A 24,160-nucleotide genomic window follows, 5' to 3' on the forward strand; every position below is an offset into this window, starting at 1 on the left:
TCATTATTCTATTCCCACTACCTTGCACACTCAAGATTTGATGAATAAATGACTGAATCACTCAAACACTAGAGAGACATTGCTGCTTAAGAAGGTCTGACTGAGTCTCCACATTGCCTGTGCCACCTAAGTTTCAAGCTCCTGTTTGGCTTTCAAGATCCTTCATATCTGGCCGGACTATTGGTCCAACTTAGCTTCCCACCATGACTCCTGAGTCCAGCCAGACCTCCACTCACACAGGCCAGAAAGTTTGTTACCTTTCTCAACCCCCTTCTTAGACGCACAGCTCTTCCCCAGCACCATTGGAACTTCTTGCCTTCCATAATTACACCCCGCCATCCTTCAAGGCTCCTCCTCCCTGTCTTCTCCATAGGCACCCCAGGCAACTTTATTCCTATCTGAAAACTCTTATCATGCATGCCTTTCAGTTGTCCTTTTCAGCATCTGAATACCCATTTCCCACCATCTACCCACAAGTGCTCTAGAGGCAGAGCCTACATCACATGATAGAAGCAGAAAAATGTCGAAAAGTTGCTTTCCCAAGCCTCACTTGCCAAAGCGAGGGCGTGAACCCATGTCCTAAGCTCCACCTATCAGACACACTCACCCTGGACTGAAATGGGAGCCGGTGTTGCAGAGCAAGGAGGGTAATGCAGTGCTTTCTCTGTTTATGATGGCGGCAGCGGCCAGACTGAGTCCCCGGAACAGCCATGGCAGAGAGGCACTGCTTGTGTCCAGTGCCCAGAGGTAGCCATGTAGGCAGTACTAACGGGCATAGTGCCCTATCAGGACCTGTTCTGAGTCTTCATTCGGGGATTGCTCTTAACTGCGTAAGCTTGAGCCTAGTCTTTCAGGCCTCCCAGTGGTGAAAACTGCCTAACATCCGTTCTTTAAAAAGCAGCTATTTTGAAGTATAATTAACATACAATAAACTTGAATTGTACATGCTTGAAATGTACAATTTGATAAATTTTACCATGTGGAGAAACCTGTGAAACCATGACCACAATCAAGAAAGTGAACTTCCACATCATGCTCAAAAGTTCCCTCATGCCCGCCTGGTCACCACAAATGCCAGTGGCTGCTTTAGCACTGGGGGAGTTCTGAATTAGGAAAGATGAAGGCAAGCCCTTTGGCTGTTCTTCCAGGAGCTACCAGAGAGCTCGAAACAAATCATGAACATTCAGTGTGAATGGGGTCTACTCTGCTCCCTCTGGTGCTGGTACCAGGCATGTGGGCTGCCTGGTACAACTGAGCATAAAACACTAAGATTTATACGGACCTCACCCAGCCCTAGATTAAGGGGTGGCCCTTTGGTCGATTTAAGCTCTCAGTGTATCTCATTCCTTTATCCACAGAAATTGACTCAAGAATCAGTCATAACCCAGGCTCAGGCTAACAAGGATGTTACATTACTCCAGCCATAGGAACTAGTTTAAGTATGGCCATGTGTTTTCTAAATAGGTTCAATCATGGTGAACTTCAGGAATTTTTCTAGAGCTACAGAAAACAGATTTGTCTTTCTTTTATGGGCTTGATAGGGGTGTCCAGTAGTAAATATAGTGGCAGTTGACACCTTTAATGACAATGTATAGTCCAAAGGGAAATGTTTATAACAAAACAGGGTTAAATGAGAGTCGATCTTGTTTTTTAGAATTGAGTGAAGAAAGGCGTATCAGTCAAGACAGGCTAGGTTATGCTGCAGTAACAAACAACTTAAAATCTCAGAAGCTTAGAGCAACAAGGGTTTATTTCTTGCTCAAATTACATGTCCATTATTGTGTTACATGCTCTCTTCCCTAGGGCCTAGGCTAATGGAGCAGCCTCTTCGTAGCACATTGCCAGGTATCAGGCAGAGGGATGAGAAAACATGGAGGACTATGTGTTAAATCTTAAAGGTTCTGCTCAGAGGTGACTGTTGTTACCTACACCCATTTCATTGGCCAAAGTAAGTCACATGGCCACACCTGACTTCAAAAATGGATGTGTACAATTCTCCGGTGGGAAGCAGCACTAAATATGCATAAATAAGTGACGTTTATCAGAGCACGTGTTGCCTCAAAAATTATAACCTAAGGAAAGAGATATTTGTAAATTAAAAAAGGGTTGGCTCATATAAGAAAAAACAGAAAATATGAATAGGTCAATATCTATTAAAGAAATTGAATCAGTAATTAATAACCTTCAAAAACAGAAAGCACCAGGCCCAGATGAGTTCAGTGGACAATTAAGCCAAACATTTAAGGAAGAAGTTATACCAATTCTTTATAATCTCTTTCAGAGGATAAAAGCCGAGGGAATACTTCCCAACTCATTCTATGAAGGCAGCGTTACCCTAATAACAAACCAGACAAAGGCATTATGAGAAAAGAAAACTACAGGTCAATATCACTCATGAACATATTAGTAGATGCAAAAATCCTCAACAACATATTAGCAAATAGAATTCAATAATGTGTAAAAAGACTTATATGCCACAGCCAAACAGGATTTATCCCAGGTATGCAAGATTGGCTCAACATTCAAAAATCAATTAATGTAATCCATCACATCAACAGGCTAAAAATGAAAATTCACATGATCATATCAATGGATGCAGAAAAATCATTTGACAAAATCGAACATTCATTCATGATAAAAACTCTCAATAAGAGAGTTACTATTAAGAGAGGAATAGAGGAAGACTTCCTAACTTGATAAAAGAATATCCATGACAAACCTATAGCTAACATTATGCTTAATGGTGAGAAACTGGAAGCTTTCCCATGAAGATCAAGAACAAGGCAAGAATGTCACCTCTCACCACTACTCTTCAACATCACAAAGGAAGTTCTAGCTTATGCAATAGGACAAGAAAATAAAATAAAAGGTATACAGATTGGGAAGGAGGAAATAAAACTGTCTATGCACAGATCAGGTGATTGTCTATGTAGAAAACCCAAAAGAATTGACAAAGAAAAACTTCCTGAAAGTAAAAAGTGATTATAGAAAAACTTCAGAATACAAGGTTAATATAAAAAAGTCTACTGCTTTCCTATATACCAGCAATGAAAAAGTGAAATTTGAAATTTTAAACACATTATCATTTATATTAGCACTCCTTAAAAATGAAATGCTTAGGAATAAATCTAACAATATATGTATAGGATCTATATGAGGAAAACTATATAATTTTTGTGAATGAAATATAAGATCTAAATAAATAGAGGGACATTTGAGATTCATGGATAGGAAGACAATATTCTCAAGATGTTAGTTCTTCCCAACTTGATCTGTAGAGTCAGTGCAATCACAGACAAATCTCAGCACATTATTCAAGTCACATGGCCACACCTGACTTCAAAAACGAAGTGTGTACAATTCTCCTGTGGGAAGGAACACTAAATATGCAGAAATAAGTGATGTTTATCAGAGAACATGTCACCTCAAAAATTATAACCTAAGGTTGTAAGAATCAGCAAACTGATTCTAAATGTTTTTTTTTTGTTTGTTTTTTTGAGATGAAGTTTCACTCTTGTTGTCCAGGCTGGAGTGCAATGTCATGATCTCGGCTCACTGCAACCTCTACCTCCTGGGTTCAAGTGATTCTCCTGCTTCAGCCTCCCGAGTAGTTGGGATTACAGGCACCTGCCGCCATGCCCAGCTAATTTTTGTATTTTTAGTAGAGATAGGGTTTCACCACGTTGGCCAGGTCTGGAACTCCTGACTTCAGGTGATCCACTGGCCTCGGCCTCTCAAAGTGCTGGGATTACAGGCGTGAGCCACTGTACCTGGCCTGATGCTAAAGTTTATATAGAGGACCGAAAGACCCAGAATAACTAACACCATGTTGAAGGGGAAGGACAAAGGTAGAAGACTGATACTACCCAATTCAAGAGTTACTACAAAGCTGCAGTAATCAAGACTGTGGTACTGGCAAAAGAACAGACAAGTGGACCAATAGAACAAAACAGAAGCCCAGAAATAGATACACATAAATATAGTCAAATGATCTTGACAAAGAAGTAAAGGTAAGAACATGGAGCAAACATGGTCTTTTCCACAGATGGTGCTGGAACAACTAAATGTCCAAATGCAAAAAAAAAAAAAAAAAAATCTAGAGTTATACCCTTCACAAAAGACTTTACACCCTTCACAAGAATGAACTCAAAATGTATCATAGACCTAAGTGTAAATACAAAACTTTAAAACTTCTAGAAGTTAACAAAGGAGAAAACCTAGATGACCTTGGGTTTGGTGTTGATTTTTTAGATACAAGAACAAAGTCATGATCCATGAAATAAATAATTGATAAACTATACTTCATTGAAATTAAAAACTTCTGCTCTGCAAACACAATGTCAAGATAATGAGAAGAGAGGCCACAGACTGGGAAAAAATATTTGCAAAAGACATATTTGATAAAGGACTGTTATCCAAAATATACAATGAACTCTTAAAACTCAACAATAAGAAAATAAATGACCCAATTTTAAGGACAAGCCACAGACTGGGAAAAAAATATTTGCAAAAGGCACATCTCACAAAGGGCTGTTAGCCAAAATATATGATGAACTATTAAAACTCAAAAATAAGAAAACAAATAACCCAATTTTAAGATGGGCTAAAAGACTTTAACAACCACTTCACCGAAGAAGATATACAGATGGGAAATAATCATATGAAACGATGCTCCACATCATTTGTCATCAGGGAAATGCAAACTAGAACAACTATGAGCTACAACTACACATCTATTAGAATGGTCAAAATCTAGAACACTGACAATACCAAATGCTGGCATAGATGTGGAACAAAAATTCTCATTTGTTGCTGGTGGAATGCAAAATGTGACAGTCTCTTTCGAAGACAGTTTGGAGGTTCTTACAAAACTAAACATACTCTTAACCATATGATCCAGCAATTACACCCCTTGGTATTTACCTAAAGGAGTTGAAAACTTATGTCCAAACAAAAACCTGCACATAAATGTTTTTAGTTGCTTTATTCATAATTGCCAAAACTTGGAAGCAACCAATATGTCTTTCAGTAGGTGAATGGATAAATAAACTATAATACAACCAGACAGTAAATCTTCTTTTCATTCTTTTTTCTTTCTCTTTTTTTTTTTTTTTTTTTGAGACAGAGTCTTGCTCTGTCACCCAGACTAGAGTGCAGTGGCACAGTCTCAGCTCAAGACAGCCTCAGTCTCCTGGGTTCAAGTGATCCTTCTAACTCAGCCTCCCAAGTAGCTAGGACTACAGGTGTGCACCACCACGCCCGGCTAATCTTTGTATTTTTTTGTAGAGATGGGTTTTCATATTGCCCAGGCTGGTCTTGAAATCTTGGGCTCCAGCAATCTGCCCACCTCAGCCTCCCAAAGTGCTGGGACTACAGGCATGAGCCACCATGCCTGGCCAGACAGTGAATTTCCTTCAGTGCTATGAAAAGACATGGAGGAAACTTAAAAGTATATTACTAAGTGAAAGAAGTGAATCTGAAAAGGCTACATACTATATGATTCCAATTATATGGCATTCTGAAAAATGCAAAATACAAAGACAATAAAAAGATCAGTGATTGCCAGGGGTTGCAGAGGGGATGGAGGAAGGATGAATAGCTGAAGCACAGAGGATTTTTAGGGCAGTGAAAATGCTCTGTACAATACTATAGTGAAGGATATATAACATTGTCCAAACACATAGAATGTACAACACCAAAAGTGAACCTTAATGTAAACTATGAAATTTTTTTTTTTTGAGATGGAGTCTCATTCTGTAAACCAGGCTGGAGTGCAGTGGCACGATCTTGGCTCACCGCAACCTCCGCCTCACGGGTTCAAGCTATTCTCCTACCTCAGCCCCTTGAGTAGTTCAGATTACAGGTGCGCACACCATGCCTGGCTGAGTTTTGTACTTTTAGTAGAGACAGGGTTTCACCATGTTGTCCAGGCTGGTCTCAAACTCCTGACCTCAAGTGATCTGCCCACCTCAGCCTCCCAAAGTGCTGGGATTACAGGCATAAGCCACTGCGCCCAGCTTAAACTATGAATTTTTGATGATCATGATGTGCCAAGGTAGGTTCATCAGTTGTAACAAATGTACCACTCTGGTGGAATGCTGATGATGGGGAGGTTGTGCATGTGTGGGGTCAGAAAGTGTATGGGAAATCTCTGTACCTTCCACTCAATTTTGCTGTGAACCTAAAACTCCTCTAAAAAAAAATCTTTAAAAAAGGGTGGGGGAGTCTTGGCAGTTCAAAAGAGGGTAACACCTTACTATTATTGGAACATGAAATATGCATTTATAACTGTGTAGTAACTTTTACGTCTCATTTCTACATAAGTATTGCACAAAGCACCTATCTTGTAACTTTCTTTGATTACAAATGAAGTAAGTGTTCCTTTGAAGTATTTATTGATCATTTTCTGGCTCTTTTGTGAAATGCCACCTTGTGTTCTTTGCCTATTTTTCTATTAAGCTATTTCCTTTTGGTTTTTAGTGATTTATGCATATATTCTAGATACCAATCTTTTGTTAGATGTATTATAAATATATTTTTCCAGTTTGTGACTAGTCTTTCCCTTCTGTAGTTTTTTTCATGTCAAATTGATCAATTTTTTCTTTGAGTATTTCACTTTTTTGTGTCTTAAGAAATTCTTACTTGAAAAACTTGAAAAAATATTTTCTTTATTTTATTTAAACACTTTACTTTTTTTTTTTTTTTTTTTTAGACAGAGTCTCTCTCTGTCACCCAGGCTGGAGTGCAGTGGCGCGATCTCAGGTCACTGTAACCTCTGCCTCCCAGGTTCAAGTGATTCTCCTGCCTCAGCCTCCTGAGTAGGATTACAGGCACCCACAACCACACCCGGCTAATTTTTGTATTTTTAGTAGAGACAGGGTTTCACTATGTTGGCCAGGCTGGTCTCGAACTTCTGACCTCTGGTGATCTGCCTGCCTTGGCCTCCCAAAATGCTGGGATTACAGGCATGAGCCACTGCACCCAGCCCTAAACACTTTACTCTTCATCCTACTTTGAAACAACTCATGGTAGAGTTAGGCAATCATGGACGTTAGCTTGCTCAATGGCAATGTCATAAAACAGGAATTTCTCTCATATTACACAGACACAGCTGACTTATTAGACATTTCATTGTGCCATCTCTGTGACCTTTGGCAAGCCTCAGTTTCCATAATAACACCACCTGCTTTTTTCAAAGTATCACAGGCTGATTTGAAGAAGTGGAAAATACCATTTGTGTTCCAAACTGCACAATGAATGTGAAAGAGGTTTGCAAACTATAAAGCACTATACAAAATAAGGTTTCCATTTTATAATGTTACTTTATTCTTTTCTGCTATAATTAAAAGTATAACTTTCTTTTCCATAGGTCATATGATAAGAAAAGATTGAGCAATGAATATTCAGTAATGTTTATTTTTTATTTATTTTTTATTTTTTTAGACAGAGTCTAGCTCTGTTGCCCAGGCTGGAGTGCAGTGGCTCACTCGGCTCACTGCAAGCTCTGCCTCCCGGGTTCAAGTCCTGCCTCAGTCTCCCAAGTAGCTAGAACTACAGGCGCCCGCCACCATGCCCGGCTAATTTTTTTTTTTTCGTATTTTTTGTATTTTTAGTAGAGAGGGTTTCACCGTGTTAGCAAGGATGGTCTCGATCTCCTGACCTCATGATCCGCCTGCCTCGGCCTCCCCAAAGTGCTGGGATTACAGGTGTAAGCCACTGCGCCCTGCCAGGAATGGTTTTAAAAATGAATGAATTTAACAGTGCAGATAAAGTTTAAATTCCTTCTGTTCCCTTCTACAGTACTGGTTCCTTTCTCTGTTCTCCTGAGGCAGCCAGTGTCACAAATATTTGTTTACACTCTCCTTACAGTTTTCTTAAAAAAGTATGCATCAACAATGTTTAGAGTGTTACAAACCTATAGAAAAGTAGAGAGAAGAGTATGATGAACTCATATCTACCCATGAATGAGCTTCAGTGGTCAACACATTGTCAAGTTTGTTTCATCTATGCCTCCCCACTCCATATCCCACACCCTGTTGGGTTATTTGAAAGAAAAACTCAGCCATGTTGTAATGTAGTTAATACACACTTCGACAGAATCTCTAAAAAATATGGCACACTTACCCTGTTTATTAGTCAGTTTTCACGCTGCTGATAAAGACATACCCGAGACTGGGAAGAAAAAGAGGTTTAATTGGACTTACAGTTTCACATGGCTGAGGAGGCCTCAGAATCATGGTGGGAGGCGAAAGCCACTTCTTATCTGGCAGCGGCAAGAGAAAATGAGGAAGACGCAAAAGCGGAAACCCCTGATAAACCCATCAGATCTCGTGAGACTTATTCACTACCACGAGAACAATATGGGGGAAACTGCCCCCATGATTCAAATTATCTCCCACCTGGTCCCTCCCACAACAACACGTGGGAATTATGGGAGCTACAATTCAAATTGAGATTTGGGTGGGGACACAGCCAAACCATATCACCCCTTGACCTTTCTTTTCCCCCCACAAACATAATCACAATAATATTACCACACCTAATAAATTAACATTAATTCTTTAACATCATCGATTAATTAGTAACTGTTCAAATTTCTCCAATTGTTTCACACATTTTTTTTAAAAAGTATTTGAACAAGTTGAGAGTCCAAACAAGGTCCACATATTTATTTACTTGAATTTATTGAAAAAACTATGTCTTTTTTTCTGGAGAATTTCCACATCCTGGTGGTGTCATTTAATATATTCCTCTGCCCTCAGCATTTCCTATACACTGGTAGTTAGAGCCAGAGGTTTGACCAGTTTCAGGTTTGACACTTAGGCAAAAGTACTTCAGAGACAGTACTGTGTTCTTTGTATTGCAGCTCATTAGGAGTCCTGTAGTGTCTGGCTGTCACTGTTTTAGTGACGTTAAATCAATCAGAGGGTTTAGCTCTTATCAGCCTAAACCGTTCATATCGTTTGTCATTAGTATTTCACCTAATGGTTTTAGGGAATGCACATGTTTAAGGCATTATTTTTATTTTTTTGAAACAAAGTCTCACTCTGTTACCCAGGCTGGAGTGCAGTGGCGCCATCTCAGCTCACAGCAACCTCTTCCTCTCGGGTCCTGGTTCAATCAATTCTCCTGCCTCAGCCTCCCAAGTAGCTGGGAGTACAGATGCCTGCCACCACACCTGGCTAATTTTTGTATTTTTAGCAGAGACGAGGTTTCACCATGTTAGTCAGGCTGGTCTTGAACTCCTGGCCTCAAGTGATCTGCCTGCTTTGGCCTCCCAAAATGTTGGGATTACAGGCGTGAGCCACTGCGCCCAGCAAGGCATTATATTCTTATTGCTTATTTCTACTTCTACCACGGTGTGCTGAAGTGTCTGTTACCCCAAATTTCCCATGTTTATATAAGAATTTTTAAAATTCCTTGTCAAATTGACTGGAAGGTAGGGTAATCTCATTGTTCAAATATGCATTTCTTTACTTATTTATGAGGTTGACCATAAACATTCATATATTTGTTGGCAATTTGTACTCCTTTTACATATTGACTATTCATGTTATTTGCTGTTTTTTTTTCCTAATGGGATGTTTGCCTTTTCTTACACACCTGTAACATTATTTTTGTTTGTTTTTTAAAGAGATTTTTAAATAAGTAGACTTATTTCTTTCTTTCTTTTTTCTTTTTTTTTAAGATGAGATCTTGCTCTGTCGCCCAGGCTGGAGTGCAGTGACGTGATCTCGGCTCACTGCAACCTCCGCCTCCTGGGTTCAAGTGATTCTCCTGCCTCAGCCTCCTGAGTAGCTGGGACTACAGGCACGTGCCACCACGTCCAGCTAATTTTTTGTATTCTTAGTAGAGACGGGGGTTTCACCATCTTGGCCAGGCTGGTCTCAAACTCCTGACTTCGTGATCCACACCCCCTTGGCCTCCCAAAGTGCTGGGATTACAGGCATGAGCCACCGCGCCTGGCCAAGTAGACTAATTTCTAAAACTGCCCTTAATTTTTCTCTCCGTTTCTTCACTGAGTCCATCCTCTGGCAGATACCAGATGCTTTCAGAATGTTCAGCTTGCTCCCATGATAATTAGTTCAAAATTCCATTTCAAGCGCTCCCCTCGCTTCCTCTGGGTAGATACCCATGTCCTGGGATACTTATCTCACCAGAGCTGGTTGCCAGTGGTGGAAGCAGGAGCAGTTGTGCCTGCTTTCTTGATCTAGGTTGGGTGGTTAGAGCTTTTTAAATTTATTAAAAACATTCATCCTCTGATGGCTTTTCTTTTTTTCTTTTTTTCTTTTTCTTTTGGCTTTGCTTTACCAGCAGGTTTTATTTTGGAAATTAAGTAACTTGCTGAATCATGAAGTCATACAGCTAAGCAGATTTGAATTCAAGTTGTTTGGCTCCAGAATCAGGGCTCTTAATCACTGTATACTCAACTGTTCTCCATGATGGCTCAGGCACATGCAGACATGTAAAGCACTATGTAATACCAGCCGATGTGCTTTTACTTGTATCCAATTGGCCTTACTGTGCTACTCCCTTCAGACTACAAAACAGAAACCATAAGGTTCCCTAAGATTTGTGTGTGCTGGCAGACGAAAGGGAATGAGGACAGGTGCGGACAGTGTGCGTGGGTGATGTTTAGTGAGGCGCTGGAGGACAAAAATGGAAGACTCATGTCTTTTGAGCTTATTAAAAAAGGAAAAAGATTTGAGAAGAATTCAATAAGTGAGTTTTTCCTAAGAATTCCCAATAAAAAGAACTAGATATAACTTTGGCTACAGAGAAGGGGATGGCCGAATTAAAAGTAACTGATCTATCTTCATATATATAGTATGTATATACACATATATATATTTTAATAGAGATGGGATCTCACTATGTTGCCCAGGCTGGCCTCAAACTCCTAGGCTGAAGCAATCTTCCTGCCTTGGCCTCCCAAAGTGCTGGGTTTATGGGTGTGAGGCACCATGCCTGTTTCTAATATATTAAAAATATTAATTACCTATTAAAATCCTTAATCTTTTATCCTAGTCTGATGTTTGTTATGTAATTTAGTTAGTTCTATTTTGAAAAAGACATTCACAATTTTTTGTTCAACAAAATGTAGTCTTTATATTTTTAGAAATTGATTTTCCATTTGCAGATTAAATCTTAAGTAAAATATTCTTGGTTTTTTACGTTTTATTTCTTACATTTAACTCTGTACTATTACAGAAGCCTTTCTCTGCTCTCATTTTTGCCCCCTATGACTCAGTTTCTAAGAGCCACAGGATCTTTAAACAATGCTGTAATTAAACCATTTCACTCTCTTGCTTAAAATCTGTGGCTTCTCATTAGAATAGAACCTTAATTTCTTTCCTTGGTTTACAAAGTCCTAAAAATTCATGTACTACTTTCCCCATCATTCACTTAACTCTAGCCTCACTGGTCTCCTTTCTTTGAACTCACCCAGCCTTTTCTTGTCTTAGGCGTCAGAGTAGCTTTTCTTTTGCTTGCAGTCCACTTCTCTTTGTTGAGGTTCTGAATCAGAGCCTAGCTTAAACATCTCTTCAGAAAGGCCTTCCCTCATCATCTGGTTGTTCTCTATCACACCAGCTTGTTTTCATTTTATGCACAGAACATGCCTCCGATATCTTCTTGCTTATTTATTATCAACCTCTGTGAGTTGTATGCTCCTTAAAAGCAAAGATCTGTGTCTGTCTTGCTCACTACTGCATCCCAGGACCAGAATAATGCCTAGCTAATAAAAGGTTTGAGAAATATTTGTTGCATAAATTCTTTAATCTATTTAAGCTTTATTTTATTGTGTGAGGTGAGACAAATCTATTTTTATTTTTCTCAAGAACTGACTTTTCTATTTATTGGAATGGGAATTATCCATCCTTTTACCACGAACTTAAGATGCCACCTCTATCAGATATTTATGTATTGATATATATTCGGGTATGGTGTGGGTTTTCTACTTTATTCTGACAGTTCAATCTCATGCCAGTTTCACTGTTTTACATGCAGGAGTTTTAAATTTCAAATACCCAACTGCAATGCCTCCTACATTTATCCTCTTTCTCCCTCACCAATTCTCCATTTTTAAGATTTTCTTGGCCGGGCACAGTGGCTCACACCTGTAATCCCAGCACTTTGGGAGGCCGAGGAGGGCGGATCACGAGGTCAGGAGTTCAAGACCAGTCTGGCCAACATGGCGAAACCCCGTCTCTACTAAAAATACAAAAATTAGCTGGGCGTGGTGGTGCATGCCGGTAATCCTAGCTACTCGGGGAGGCTGAGGCAGGAGAACTGCTTGAACCAGGACCCGGGAGGCGGAGGTTGCAGTGAGCCGAGATCGCACCATTGCACTCCAGCCTGGGCTACAGAGGGAGACTCTGTCTCAATTCTTGAACAGTCTCACCACTTATTTTTCTCTTTATAAGTTTAATACTTCTTGTATTACAGATATATGTTACTTTGTGGAGAATTGCCATCTTTAAAATATTCTCACCAACAGTGTGTTTCATTTTCCATTTCCCTATACCCTCATTGTATATCAACTTAAAAATTGTTAGTCTATTAGATTCACCAGTGTTTTCTTCTACATTTTCTTTTCCATTTTATACTGAAATTTTTGATTCATTTGAGATGCATTTTGGTGTGAGAGGTGAAATAGAGATCCAGCTCCATATTTTTCCCCCAAGGATCTGAAATAGCCTTTATCATATACTAAATTTATATTCATATAAATTTGGGTTTGCTTCTGGACTCTTATTGTTTGATCTTCTCTTCTTTTACCATACATTGAATTATTGTAACTTAACAAAGTTTTACTAGTGAGCAGAGGTAGTTCCCTCTTACCACTATTCTTTTTCAGATCCCATCCCCGGCAGTCATTCTTGCCTGTTAAAAAAATTTTAATTGGATTTTAGAACCATTTCCTCAAATTCTCCCCTCTGCTAAAGCCCTTCTGTGCTTTATTTCATTGAATTTACAGATTAACATAGAGAGAATTCACATTTTCACAATATTAACTCTCCATATACAGTACAAGTCATTCTTTTTAAATGTCTTTTTGACTCTCACTGGAAATCCTTTTTTCAATTATATTTGGCTACTGCTGGCATACAGAAAAGCTTTTGGGTTCTATGTATTTGTTTTCTAGGACTGCTGTAACAAGGTACCACGAACTATTGTCTCACATTTCTGGAGGCTAGAAGCCAAAATCAAGGTGTCTGCAAGGACATGCCCTCGAAGGCTCTTGGGGGAGAATCTGTTCCCTGCCTTTCTCTTAGCTTCTGGTGTCATGTTGGTGGTACTTGGCTTGAGGCTGCATAACTCTGTTGTCATATAGCCTTCTCACTATGTCTTCACAGTGTCTTCTTACTCATAACATCAGTCATACTGGGTTAAAGGCCCACCCTATTCTAGTAAGTTAAGACCTTATCTTAACTATTTCTGCAAGGACCTGTTTCCAAATAGGGTTCCATCCTGAGGCATTGGGGGTTACGGCTTCAACATATCTTTTTGGGTAACATAATTCAACCCATAACAGTTCTACATATCATGTAAATACTCATTTTAATTTCCTCATTGCTTCTGATTATTTCACAGATGACTCTCTGTTTTCCTGGGGCACAGCTTATCTGCATATAATGAAAATGATGTCTCTTTTCCAATATTTATTTCTCATTTCATCTTCTTATCTAAGCTCATTGACTGGTACTTTTATCACACCTAGACAAGAGGTATTCATTATCTTTAAAAAGTTTGCTTGTTTTTAAAATCTGAGTATGATTACTACTGGAGTGGAACATTTTAAAAACCCATCCATTTGTATTTCTTCTTCTGTGAACTATGTGTTTCTATCCTTTACTTTTTATATTGAAGGTTTTTAATTAATTTGAAAGAGCTCTTGTGCATTGAAAATCTTAACTTCTTGTGACTATTAAAAATATTTTCCTCCAAGATTTTGAAAGCACCTTGTCAGCTATCCAGCAGCCAACAGAAAGCACAAAACGAAATATAAGAAAGGTACAGATCTACTGTAACACAGATTAATTATACCTTTCTGTGCAACAGTCCAATACATGAGCAAATCCCTCTCATATTGTAATAGTAAGATGAATAGTGGAGAGCAATGTAGATTTTTATGAAGCAGTCTTGCAAATTTCCAGTACAATAATACTTATAACTTGTCTCATAGTATAGCATTTCTAAACCATTCATTTTCTTTCCAGCTAAAGCACTCAAAGGAGCTTCATGGACTAAATGATCTGATTAACCCTTTAATACCACATGCCTCACAGCTCTGCATCCCATGTACTTAAGTTTACACTGACATTTAAAGGCCTTAACGCCATCAAAGAAAGGATTAATCTGTCCTCGGTTTGTCTAAATGACCAAATAATAAGATTTAAGTGATAACTAGCTGTAGGATATGTCCTTATTAAATTTGATAGGATTTAAAAAAAACCCAAGTAATGAAGTTTGCAAAGTGATTTAGATTAAACAGGTTTGACTGCTCAATTTTGAAGTGATTCAGTGTACAGGTACAGGTATAAAGGCAATCTTAAAATATTAGGCTTTGAATGTTGCTGACCAGAAAGTTGAGAAATGTTAAACAAACATTACAATATATTGTTTTAGCTACTTTTCATTACTCATAAAATAAACATGTTTTTATTTTAGCGGTGTGCCTTCTCTCCCCTCCTCACAAGTTTCATTCCCCCCAAAGATTTACATAACATGGTACAAAACATGAGAAAGGAAAGACAACCTACTTCTTGAGATGTTGATGCTCAACCAGAAATATAAATGTCCTAAAAGCCCAGACAGAAAGTCCCTGTCCAGGACCACTGAGGAGGTTATTTTGATTTACTAGGACTGATCTGCCCATTAGCCAAGAATGATAAAGTAAAGATGCTAGGACTTGGGAATGTTCTTACTGGCATTAAAACCGGCCTGGATTTGGTCATCTTACTGATTCCATACCTTGTATCTTTCTTTCTTTGTCCTATGCATATTCTTACTTAAAAATGATGTGACCTTTGCTGTACAGAAAAATACAGATGTTAGGTTTACTACTTGTATCTATCACTTGTATGCCTTTGTTTTGCCTGTGTTCCCTGTGGAAGCCTTTATATTTGTCTGTGCAAGGACTTGGGGCATATTACAAATAAGTGGTTACACTTTACCATGACACTTTATACCTGCAATGTGTATGACTTTGCACATGTTCACTGAGACAACTGATCTAAGAAGTTTATATGTCCATGTGTGTGTGTAAAATTTTCATGAACAGAATAATTTTATATGATTGTATTTAGGTAGTGTTTTTCACCACCCAATAGCAGGTAGGAATTGTACATAGTAAGAACACATATTGTATATACACACACACCTTCATATATATGCCCTGGGTCACAATGGAAAATGTGTTTTGTATTGTGGTTTGCAGTCAAAACAGTGGGAAAGGCACTGTATTAAACGTGTTTGCAATGTGATGGAATCCTTCTTGGCATTCTTTCATTTCCAGAGGTCAAAGATGTTCTTGCTTTTCATTCAATCTACAAATGTTTACTGGACAACTACTATATGTTGGTTGAGGGCTCAGGTGTTGGGGCAGGAAGAAAAAGAGGCAAAATTACTTGGCAATTTCTACCTGTTATTACACAGATATAAGGGTTTAAATAAAAACTTAAAAACAAGATGCTGAATTGATTACAGCTGCTCATATTTTAATATGCTTATTGATGGCCATGAAAACCTAAGTGGAATGTATGAAAAATTCCCAGAAATATAGTCTTCACAGGATGTTAAGCCTCTTGTGCTTCTCATTAATACTTGGAGAGTGATCCAGTATAAAATCTATAGTTGAGACAGGAATTCTCTAAAGATATATTTCTTTTTCTTTTTTTTTTGAGACAAAATCTTGCTCTGTCACCCAGGTGGCAGTGCAGTGGTGCAATCTCGGCTCACTGCAGCCTCTGCTCCCAGATTCCAGCGATTCTCCTGCCTCAGCCTCCGGGTAGCTGGGATTACACGCATGTGCCTCCATGCCCAGCTAATTTTTGTATTTTTAGGAGACACAGGGTTTCACCATGTTGGCCAGCTGGTGATCCTCCTGACCTCAGGTGATCCACCCGCCTTGGCCTCCCAAAGTGCTAGGATTACAGGTGTGAGCCACCACGCCTGGCCAACAAAGATATGCATTCTTTCATTTACCTTATTATTGATTTCTTCTTTTCTAGGCTTTTTGGCAACAAAGTAATTTTTTTAGTAATCATGATTTGAGTCCTTGCTGCAAGACTTATACATATGAATCTGTATCTATATATATTTGTGTTCTGTTCTCTTTAAGCTTTAATTGGTCAAGAAACCATTTGCTATATATATATATTTATATATAGAGACACAGAGAGAGAGGTTATACATTAAAAAAAATACCAAAATAGTTTCTGTAAATGAAATACTACTTGGAAAACTAATTGGCACTTCCCCCGCACCCGCCCCCACCCACCCACCCCTTCCCAAGCCAATCTATTGCTCTGGTACTTGATAGCAACCACAAAATAATCTAATTCTCTTGGTGTTCAAACCTCTAACACTAAACCTTAATATCAAGTTTTACACTATAATTACTTTTTATTTTCTCAACTTTTCCTTTTCCCACCTCAAATACTTTTAAAATGGCATGTAATATGTTTTGGGATGACATTCCAATTTAGAAATGCTTCTGATATATGTTATTCTCTGAAGAAGTAATTTTTGGCATGTGTAATAAGGTTATTTTTATTTTATTTTATTTTATTTTGAGATAGAGTCTTGCTCTGTCACCCAAGCTGGAGTGCAATGGCATGATCTTGGCTCACTGCAACCTCTGCCTCCTGGGTTCAAGCAATTCTCCTGCCTCAGCCTCCCAAGTAGCTGGGATTACAGGTGCCTGCCACCAAGCCGGCAAATTTTTGTATTTTTTAGTAGAGACAGGGTTTCACCATGTTGGTCAGGCTGGTCTCAAACTCCTGACCTCAGGTGATCCACTTGCCTCGGCCTCCCAAAGTGCTGAGATTACAGGCGTGAGCACTGCGCCTGGCTTAAGTTTATTTTATAAGTGATATAATCTGTGCTTTATAACAACAGAACCTTTAAGAATAACTTAGGAAAAAATAATTATTTTTCTCTTTTCTGATCTTTGGACAGATTCAATAAATGTTATGATTTCTAGTGATTATCTACAACTTCCAAAATCATACCAACCATAATAACACTGTAAGTATTTAATGCAGCAAAAATTCAAGTTTTTTTTTTCCAATTTTGACTTTTCAAATTTAAATGCTATATATAGATATTTGGTTCCTTACACCAATGCCCATTAGGCTGGTGATATAAGGCTCACACACATTTTCTGGAAATATAAAAAATCTAAATGAGTTGTCTTGTATTTTTGGAAAATAAACTCAAGTGATTGGGTAACAGGGTCACAATTGTACTGGAAAAATGCTTTCTGACAAAATGATACTTTTCCCCCCCGAGTCAATCTAGATAATCAAGATTGGCTACAGCCAAATTATGGTGGAGCTGGCCCAAATTTTCATAACTCTGTGTTCAGTGATGTCATATTAGTAGTTTGAAATTGGTCAAAGGTAGGAGTATTTATACCACAGAAATCAGCAAAAGCTACCAATCAGAGGTTCCCCTCCTATTCTGAAGAGTCTTTAAATATTTGCCAGCACTTCACTGGCAATGGCCATTATTGTTTCAAAATACCATTCAACTCTTCATTGTTCATAAGAATCTTATTTGAAGATCTAAATGGTTGGGGGTGTTTTCTGTGTGAATCTGTCCTCGAAAAAGATTTAAATGTTTCTCATTCATTTATAGTCATGGAAATGTTAGAGTTTCACTGTGAAGGCCTTATTATGTGAGACCTTCCCCAAAGAGAGTTCTTCCTTTTATATCAGTTGTATTCTATTCCAAATAAACTGCTTACAATTCAATCTTTTAGAGATAGGGTCTTGCTATGTTCCGTAGGCTGGAGTACATTGGCATAATCATACCTTACTGCATCCTCATACTACTGGGCTCAAGCAATCCTCCCACCTCAGCCTCCCCAGTAGTTGGGAATACAGATATGTACCACTACACCCAACTAAAATTTGGATTGTTATTTGAAAAAATGGTATTCTATTTTTTAAAACTCAATCCATGCTTGTGAAGCAAAATATGTAGACTTCGAATAGAACCTAACAGATTATAGTTCTCTGTCATAAAGTCTATGTGGTTTAATGATAAAAGGTTAATTTAAAAATTTTGTAAAGTATAAAATAAACAATTTTATTAGATGAACTCATTTATTTGACATATTAAATTAGACAAAGAAATATATATGTAACCAGATAAAAACAATCACATTCTCATACTACTTGAACACATAGCAGTGGTCAAAAATAATGGATTGTAAAATGGACCCCAGGATTTAATGCAAAAACCACCCCATACGAGAAAAGTTTCAGGCTTCTAACTTCACTGAATCCAGTACTAAACGTGCTTCTTTATATTCCTCAGCTTCTTCCAAGTCTTTTTCATTTTCCTAAAATGAAATACAATAAAAATTAAGTTTATCCTTTTCAAGTTTCAGTACTTTGTTATTTACTCAAATATTACAAACCATTAATGTTAATAACTAAAAAATTAAAAGTAAAAAATCCCAAGCCTCATCTAAATATATTGTAATTCCACAGGTTTCCCACATTCTGTTCCTTCTTTACAAGGAAAGGAAGAAATAACTGGTGGTTTTGTTTCACTGTATATATTCTCATAAAATAAGTGAATAACAGTCTTCTAAAGCTACCAGCATTAATTAAATAAAAACCTCAGAAAAAGTTTATTCTCATTTTGTTGACCCATCATCATCATACAAAAGAGAAAAGTAAAAAGGAAGATTTACTAACATGTTACATATATGACAGCATTCAGGCCAAAATAATCCACTGACTATTCACAATGACAAAGAAGGCTTCTGATGTCACAACAGAGTTAAATATAATCTTTGAATTAAACAAATGAATTGCCTGCTTGCTAATGGGTATTACATACCCTACACTAAAGGAAACAAAATACATCTTTCATTTTCTGATATTTAAAGATTGAGTTTTTCCATAATACTGATATACAGGCAACTTTTACTAATATATTGTAATGATAACAGACAAATGAAATAATATTATCTAAAGTACACAGGAAATTTTGTTTGATTTTTAAATGAAGCTATGGTTAGCAATTTATGTCAGGTCAATAAAAGATGGAGATATACAAACAGTAGAGGAAATAAAGTATGTGTGTATTTAATATGAAAACTGAAAGCAAAACGACTGAGAATTTGCTTAGCTCAAACTATACGTAAGAATTTCTTAAACCTCCATGTTATACCTTAAACACATCTTTGTTCTCTGTTAGTAAATACAAGCTCTTCAAGGGCAGAGATATTGTTGAATACATCTTCACATACAAATATATCATCCAAATACATTATTATTATTATTATTATTTTGGTATTTTTAGTAGAGACAGGATTTCACCATGTTGGTCAGGCTGGTCTTGAACTCCTGACTCGTGATCCACCCACCTCAGCCTCCCAAAGTGCTGGGATTACAGGCATGAGCCACTGCACCTGGCGGCCAACATTATTTTTTTCCAAGCAATTTCTATTACTTTCTCAGCTACTAGATTCATGAGAGAAAAAAGCATTTAAACTGTCAAGAAATACAAATGATGCTTCCTGTCTTAGATAGTATTTTAACAGTTATTATTTCCTGCTTTATCTACCTTCTGTATCACAAGGCATTTATACCAGCAAGTATAAGTGTTATTCAGCTCCAAGTTAGTATGAGGGGACTACATAGATTACCAGGTTTTTTCCCCCTCTCAAACTGATCTAGGTTTGAATGTGAAAGAATTCAAGATCCTTTTAATAAGATCCCAAATTCTTTTGAAACATTAGATCTTTTAAAATTTTAATCAGTCAACTCATCCTCAATGTCTCAAAAGATCTTTATGTATGAAAACCAAATAATCAAGACATTGCTGGACAATACTGGTACTATCATAACTTAAATAAATTTAACTAGCTAAATTTTAATAAACTGAACAAACATGCTAGAAAACAGTACTTTTACTGGAGGCATAATTCAAAACACAATTTAAACTCCATTAATTATTTTAAAATATAGCGGTATAAAGGGCAAGTGAATAAGAAATACTGCCAACTAGTTCTCAGTGTTAAATATTTAAACTTTTGGCTTTCCATGTATTGGATTGAAAAAAAAAATTTAAACATGACACAGAAGTCTTTGCTTACTAGTATCCGTTGAAGATCCAAATATGCGGCTTCCAACCTGCGCTGGCAATCTGGGATCATCATCCTGGATTCTTGTAGGATCTCTGCCTAGAATGAGAATCTCTGTGAGACGTTCAAAGATGGCAGAACTTGTAGGTGTTTAGCTCATATCTTGGTAAGTATATCCTTATTAAGAGGAATCAGAAAAAAGTTATGGTTATGTTAAATGGTTCAATATTTTAACTTAAATTGTATTTATTAGAAGTTAGAAAGGCCAGGCACAGTGGCTCACGCCTGTAATCCCAGCATTTTGGGAGACCGAGGCAGGCAGATCACCTGAGGTCAGGAGGTTCAAGACCAGCCTGACCAACATGGAGAAACCCTGTCTCTACTAAAAATACAAAATTAGCAGGGCGTGGTGGAGCATGCCTGTAATCCCAGCTACTCAGGAGGCTGAGGCAGGAGAATCGCTTGAACCCAGGAGGCGGAGGCTGTGATGAGCTGAGATTGCACCATTGCACTCTGGCCTGGGCAACAAGAGTGAAACTCCATCTCAAAAAAAAAAAAAAAAAAAAAAAAGTTAGAAAAGAAAGACTATCATACTGTAAAATCTACAAAGTGCAAGTTTTAGAACTAAATCTTTTTGGTAATCACCTTCTCATGCTAAGTGAAAGTTAACTGGAAAAGCTTTTCATAGAGCATTTATTTTAAAAGGCTATTTAAAATAAACTATTTCCCCTGCTGTTGCAAAGCACCTTTATCTAAAATGGGATCAGCTGGTTATATAAATATCTCCTGCATCTTTTGAGTAATAAAGAAAAACAGTGTTCAGATAATATCACATGGAGATAATTACTGCATGAAAAAAGTTATTGAGTTATTGATCACATCGTGTGCACACTGCAGGAGGTTCACACTGAAAGAGAGAGGTAAAGAAAAACGAAAAGCAAAGACCAGCAGGTTCATATTTTTGATGCTTATCATGCATAAAAAGTTATTACTTATCCTCATGCTTCATTTTAGGAGAGCGATTATTCTCCCCATGCAATGTGAGCCAAATTACCAATGTGGCACCCCTCTGAATCTAAACTTCTTGCCTATTCCTCCTGATGACAGACACTACAGAATTAAACACAGAAATATGTATTCTAGAGGATATTTCTGGACGTAAAGTCCATCATTCAAAACTGGACTATAACACATCAAATCATGAAAGAAAAAAAATCAAATCAATGACAGGGAAACCCAATTGATAAGAGTAAATAAGTTAATGCCACATATTGGACTTCAAATAGGGCTTTTTCTTAGAGTAGCAGGAAGCTTTATTTCCTTAAACTATTCTCAGAAAGAAACATAGAGCTCATCTAAACATTTATTTCCAAAAAAACAATGTTTGGTCAAATACCTTTAAAGAAATAGGTAGACAATCTGAGCTTTTTACTAAGGAGATTAACGGTAATAATACTATATTTTAATAGAAACTTTAAGTCCCAGTACCTTCTTCCTTTCCCAAATAGCTTTGTCAGAGCTCATATTGAAAACAAAAATCTCAATTATAACATACAAAGAAGTTCTTTATTCACATCTATTTTCTCAGGTGGAAATCTATTGTTGAACTTAAACCTCTTTTACTAATAAGGCACAGGTTGAAAATTTCAAACATAACATCATTATTTTACTTCAGAGCTAATCATACTATACCTACACATTTAACCACTGCCATTAAATTATTTTTGTGTATCTGGTTAATCTGAATATATGTGAAAAATCAGTGACAGGAATATTTCTTAGTGGCTTTTTCCTATTTCCTTTCCTATGGAATTCCCTTCAGAATCGTTACAGGAATTAAACAAGATGAAATGACTAGGTCAAATCCATGACAAGTCACAATATGTGTTTGTAAAAAGAAATATTTTCTAAGTTTTAGCCACCAAAAAAAACTTTAGACAATGCCATCCAAAAATAACTTCTATTCATTAAAATTCTATCTATTATTACAGATCAAGAATCCTCAGTCTATCAAAACAGGACTCCAACTTACACAGGGCCAAAGCTCAGGCTCTCCCATACACTACCCCAATTCATTCAATAAGTTTACTATACGTCTTCAGGATGCCAGGTACTGAGGATACAAAGATGAAAAAGAAAAGGTCTCTGTCCTCCAAATCCGTAAGTCTAGGTGTATTAACATGAAAAGAAACATTTGAGATTGCTTCAAGAAGATCATGCCACAGAGAGGCAAAGGAACACAGTGATGGCTATGATTTGGAATCCACAAACCACATCTTCATCAAAGCCATAAATCATATATTTTACCTTGGGACAATGAATTCCAACTGTCTGGAATAATTTTAAAACACAGTATATGAGGTGTGATTATATATGTAAAGATACCCCCCAAAACACCTAAACTTAATTAAATGAATATTATCTTTCAAAGTGTTTCCCTTGGGAGGTAGTAGTCAAATGAATTGTGCCTCTGTTTACAATATCTGAGTCAATTGTCAGTTTATTCTAATGTTGACTATGATAAATCTGAGCTTAATTCAGGATCTTGGCACAGACTGGGAGATGCAAAGAACCTTAGAGGAACAAACACAACAGGATGTGGTACTCACTGATGTCTAATTGTTTTTAAAACAAGTTATGGTTTTATAGGGGGTACTTATTTGGTAAAATGGAAGTTGGGAGTTAGTTTAGCAAGGTTCAGGTTATAACAATGAATAAATGGCTGAACCTAAAATCTAATCAATTTCCTTTAGAGTCAAACATATGTAAATTGGAAAGGATATACCCCAATTGGCAGATCTTCATTTTTGTCAGAAAGAAGAGTTCTGTGAAATAATCTGGCCAATGTCAATCAAGCTCTTAGGTTATTGCTTGATTGTGATGAGGTTTCCAGCTTCTTTAAGGATCCAGATCATCCATCAGAAGCTGGCTATACCTTTAGCTATAACAATCAATAGATACTCTAATATTGGCTACTGGCTACCCTCTGAAACCAATGGCATTAGTTTGCCAGGTTGAGCTCTAGAGTAATCCAGAGATTACTGGAATAATGGTTAAGTGTTTCCTTTAGATGGTAGTAAAATGTTAATGTACTCACTTCTCAGGAAATCTATCTGACTTGTATTTTGTGGTTATTGCTAAATGAGTAAGATTGTAAGAAGAATCTTAAGTCAAAGAAAAAAAATGATCTTTGGGCCCTTACGCTCTAATGTATCAATAATTACTTTAAATGTAAATGATGTAAATACACTAGTTAAGAGGCAGAGATTCATGGATTGGACCCAATAACATGCTGTCTACAAGAAACTCATTTCAAACATAATGAAATAAAAAATAAAAGGATGGGAAAATATATATAATGTAAACATTAATTTAAAAAATCAGGGCTAGGCATGGTGGCCCATTCCTATATAATCCCAGCACTTTAGGAGGCCAAGGCAGGAAGATAGCTTGAGGCCAGTAGTTTGCGACCAGCCTGGGCAACACAGTGAAACTCTGTTTACAAAAAATAAAAATTAGGTGAGTGTGGTGGCACATGCCTCTAGTTCTAGCTACTCAAGAGGCTGAGGCAGGAGGATTACTTGAGCCCAGGAGCTGGGAGGTTACAATGAGCTATGATCGTGACAATGTACTCCAGCCTAGGCAAAAGAGTGAGACCTTGCCTCTAAAAAGCCAATAAATCAGGAGTGGCTAAACTAATACCAGATAAAGTAAACTTCAAAGCAAAATAATTATTACAGACAAAGAGGGATGTTACATTATCATAAAATTATCAATCTACCAAGAAAATACAGTGATCTTAGATGTGCATGCATTAAACAACAGAGTTTA

General features: G+C 37.3%; 1 protein-coding gene across 3 annotated transcripts in view; it reads right to left on the reverse strand.

The window, feature by feature from the left end:
• Positions 1-18,241: 18,241 nt before the first annotated feature.
• The window catches only part of TBCA (tubulin folding cofactor A), an 85,174-nt gene continuing 79,255 nt past the window's right edge, over positions 18,242-24,160 (reverse strand). The window contains exons 3-4 of one of the 3 annotated variants that reach the window (NM_004607.3): positions 20,342-20,428; positions 18,242-18,574 (exon numbers count right to left, since the gene is read on the reverse strand). In NM_004607.3, the coding sequence (NP_004598.1) occupies positions 18,494-18,574; positions 20,342-20,428 (168 nt within the window). In that variant the 3' untranslated portion in view covers positions 18,242-18,493. Of the gene's footprint in view, positions 20,429-24,160 lie in introns of all 3 variants that reach the window. The other 2 variants (NM_001297740.2, NM_001297738.2) reach the window with 2 other exon arrangements.

Source organism: Homo sapiens, chromosome 5 (genome assembly GCF_000001405.40).
Source record: "Homo sapiens chromosome 5, GRCh38.p14 Primary Assembly".
Taxonomy (NCBI): Eukaryota; Metazoa; Chordata; class Mammalia; order Primates; family Hominidae; genus Homo; species Homo sapiens.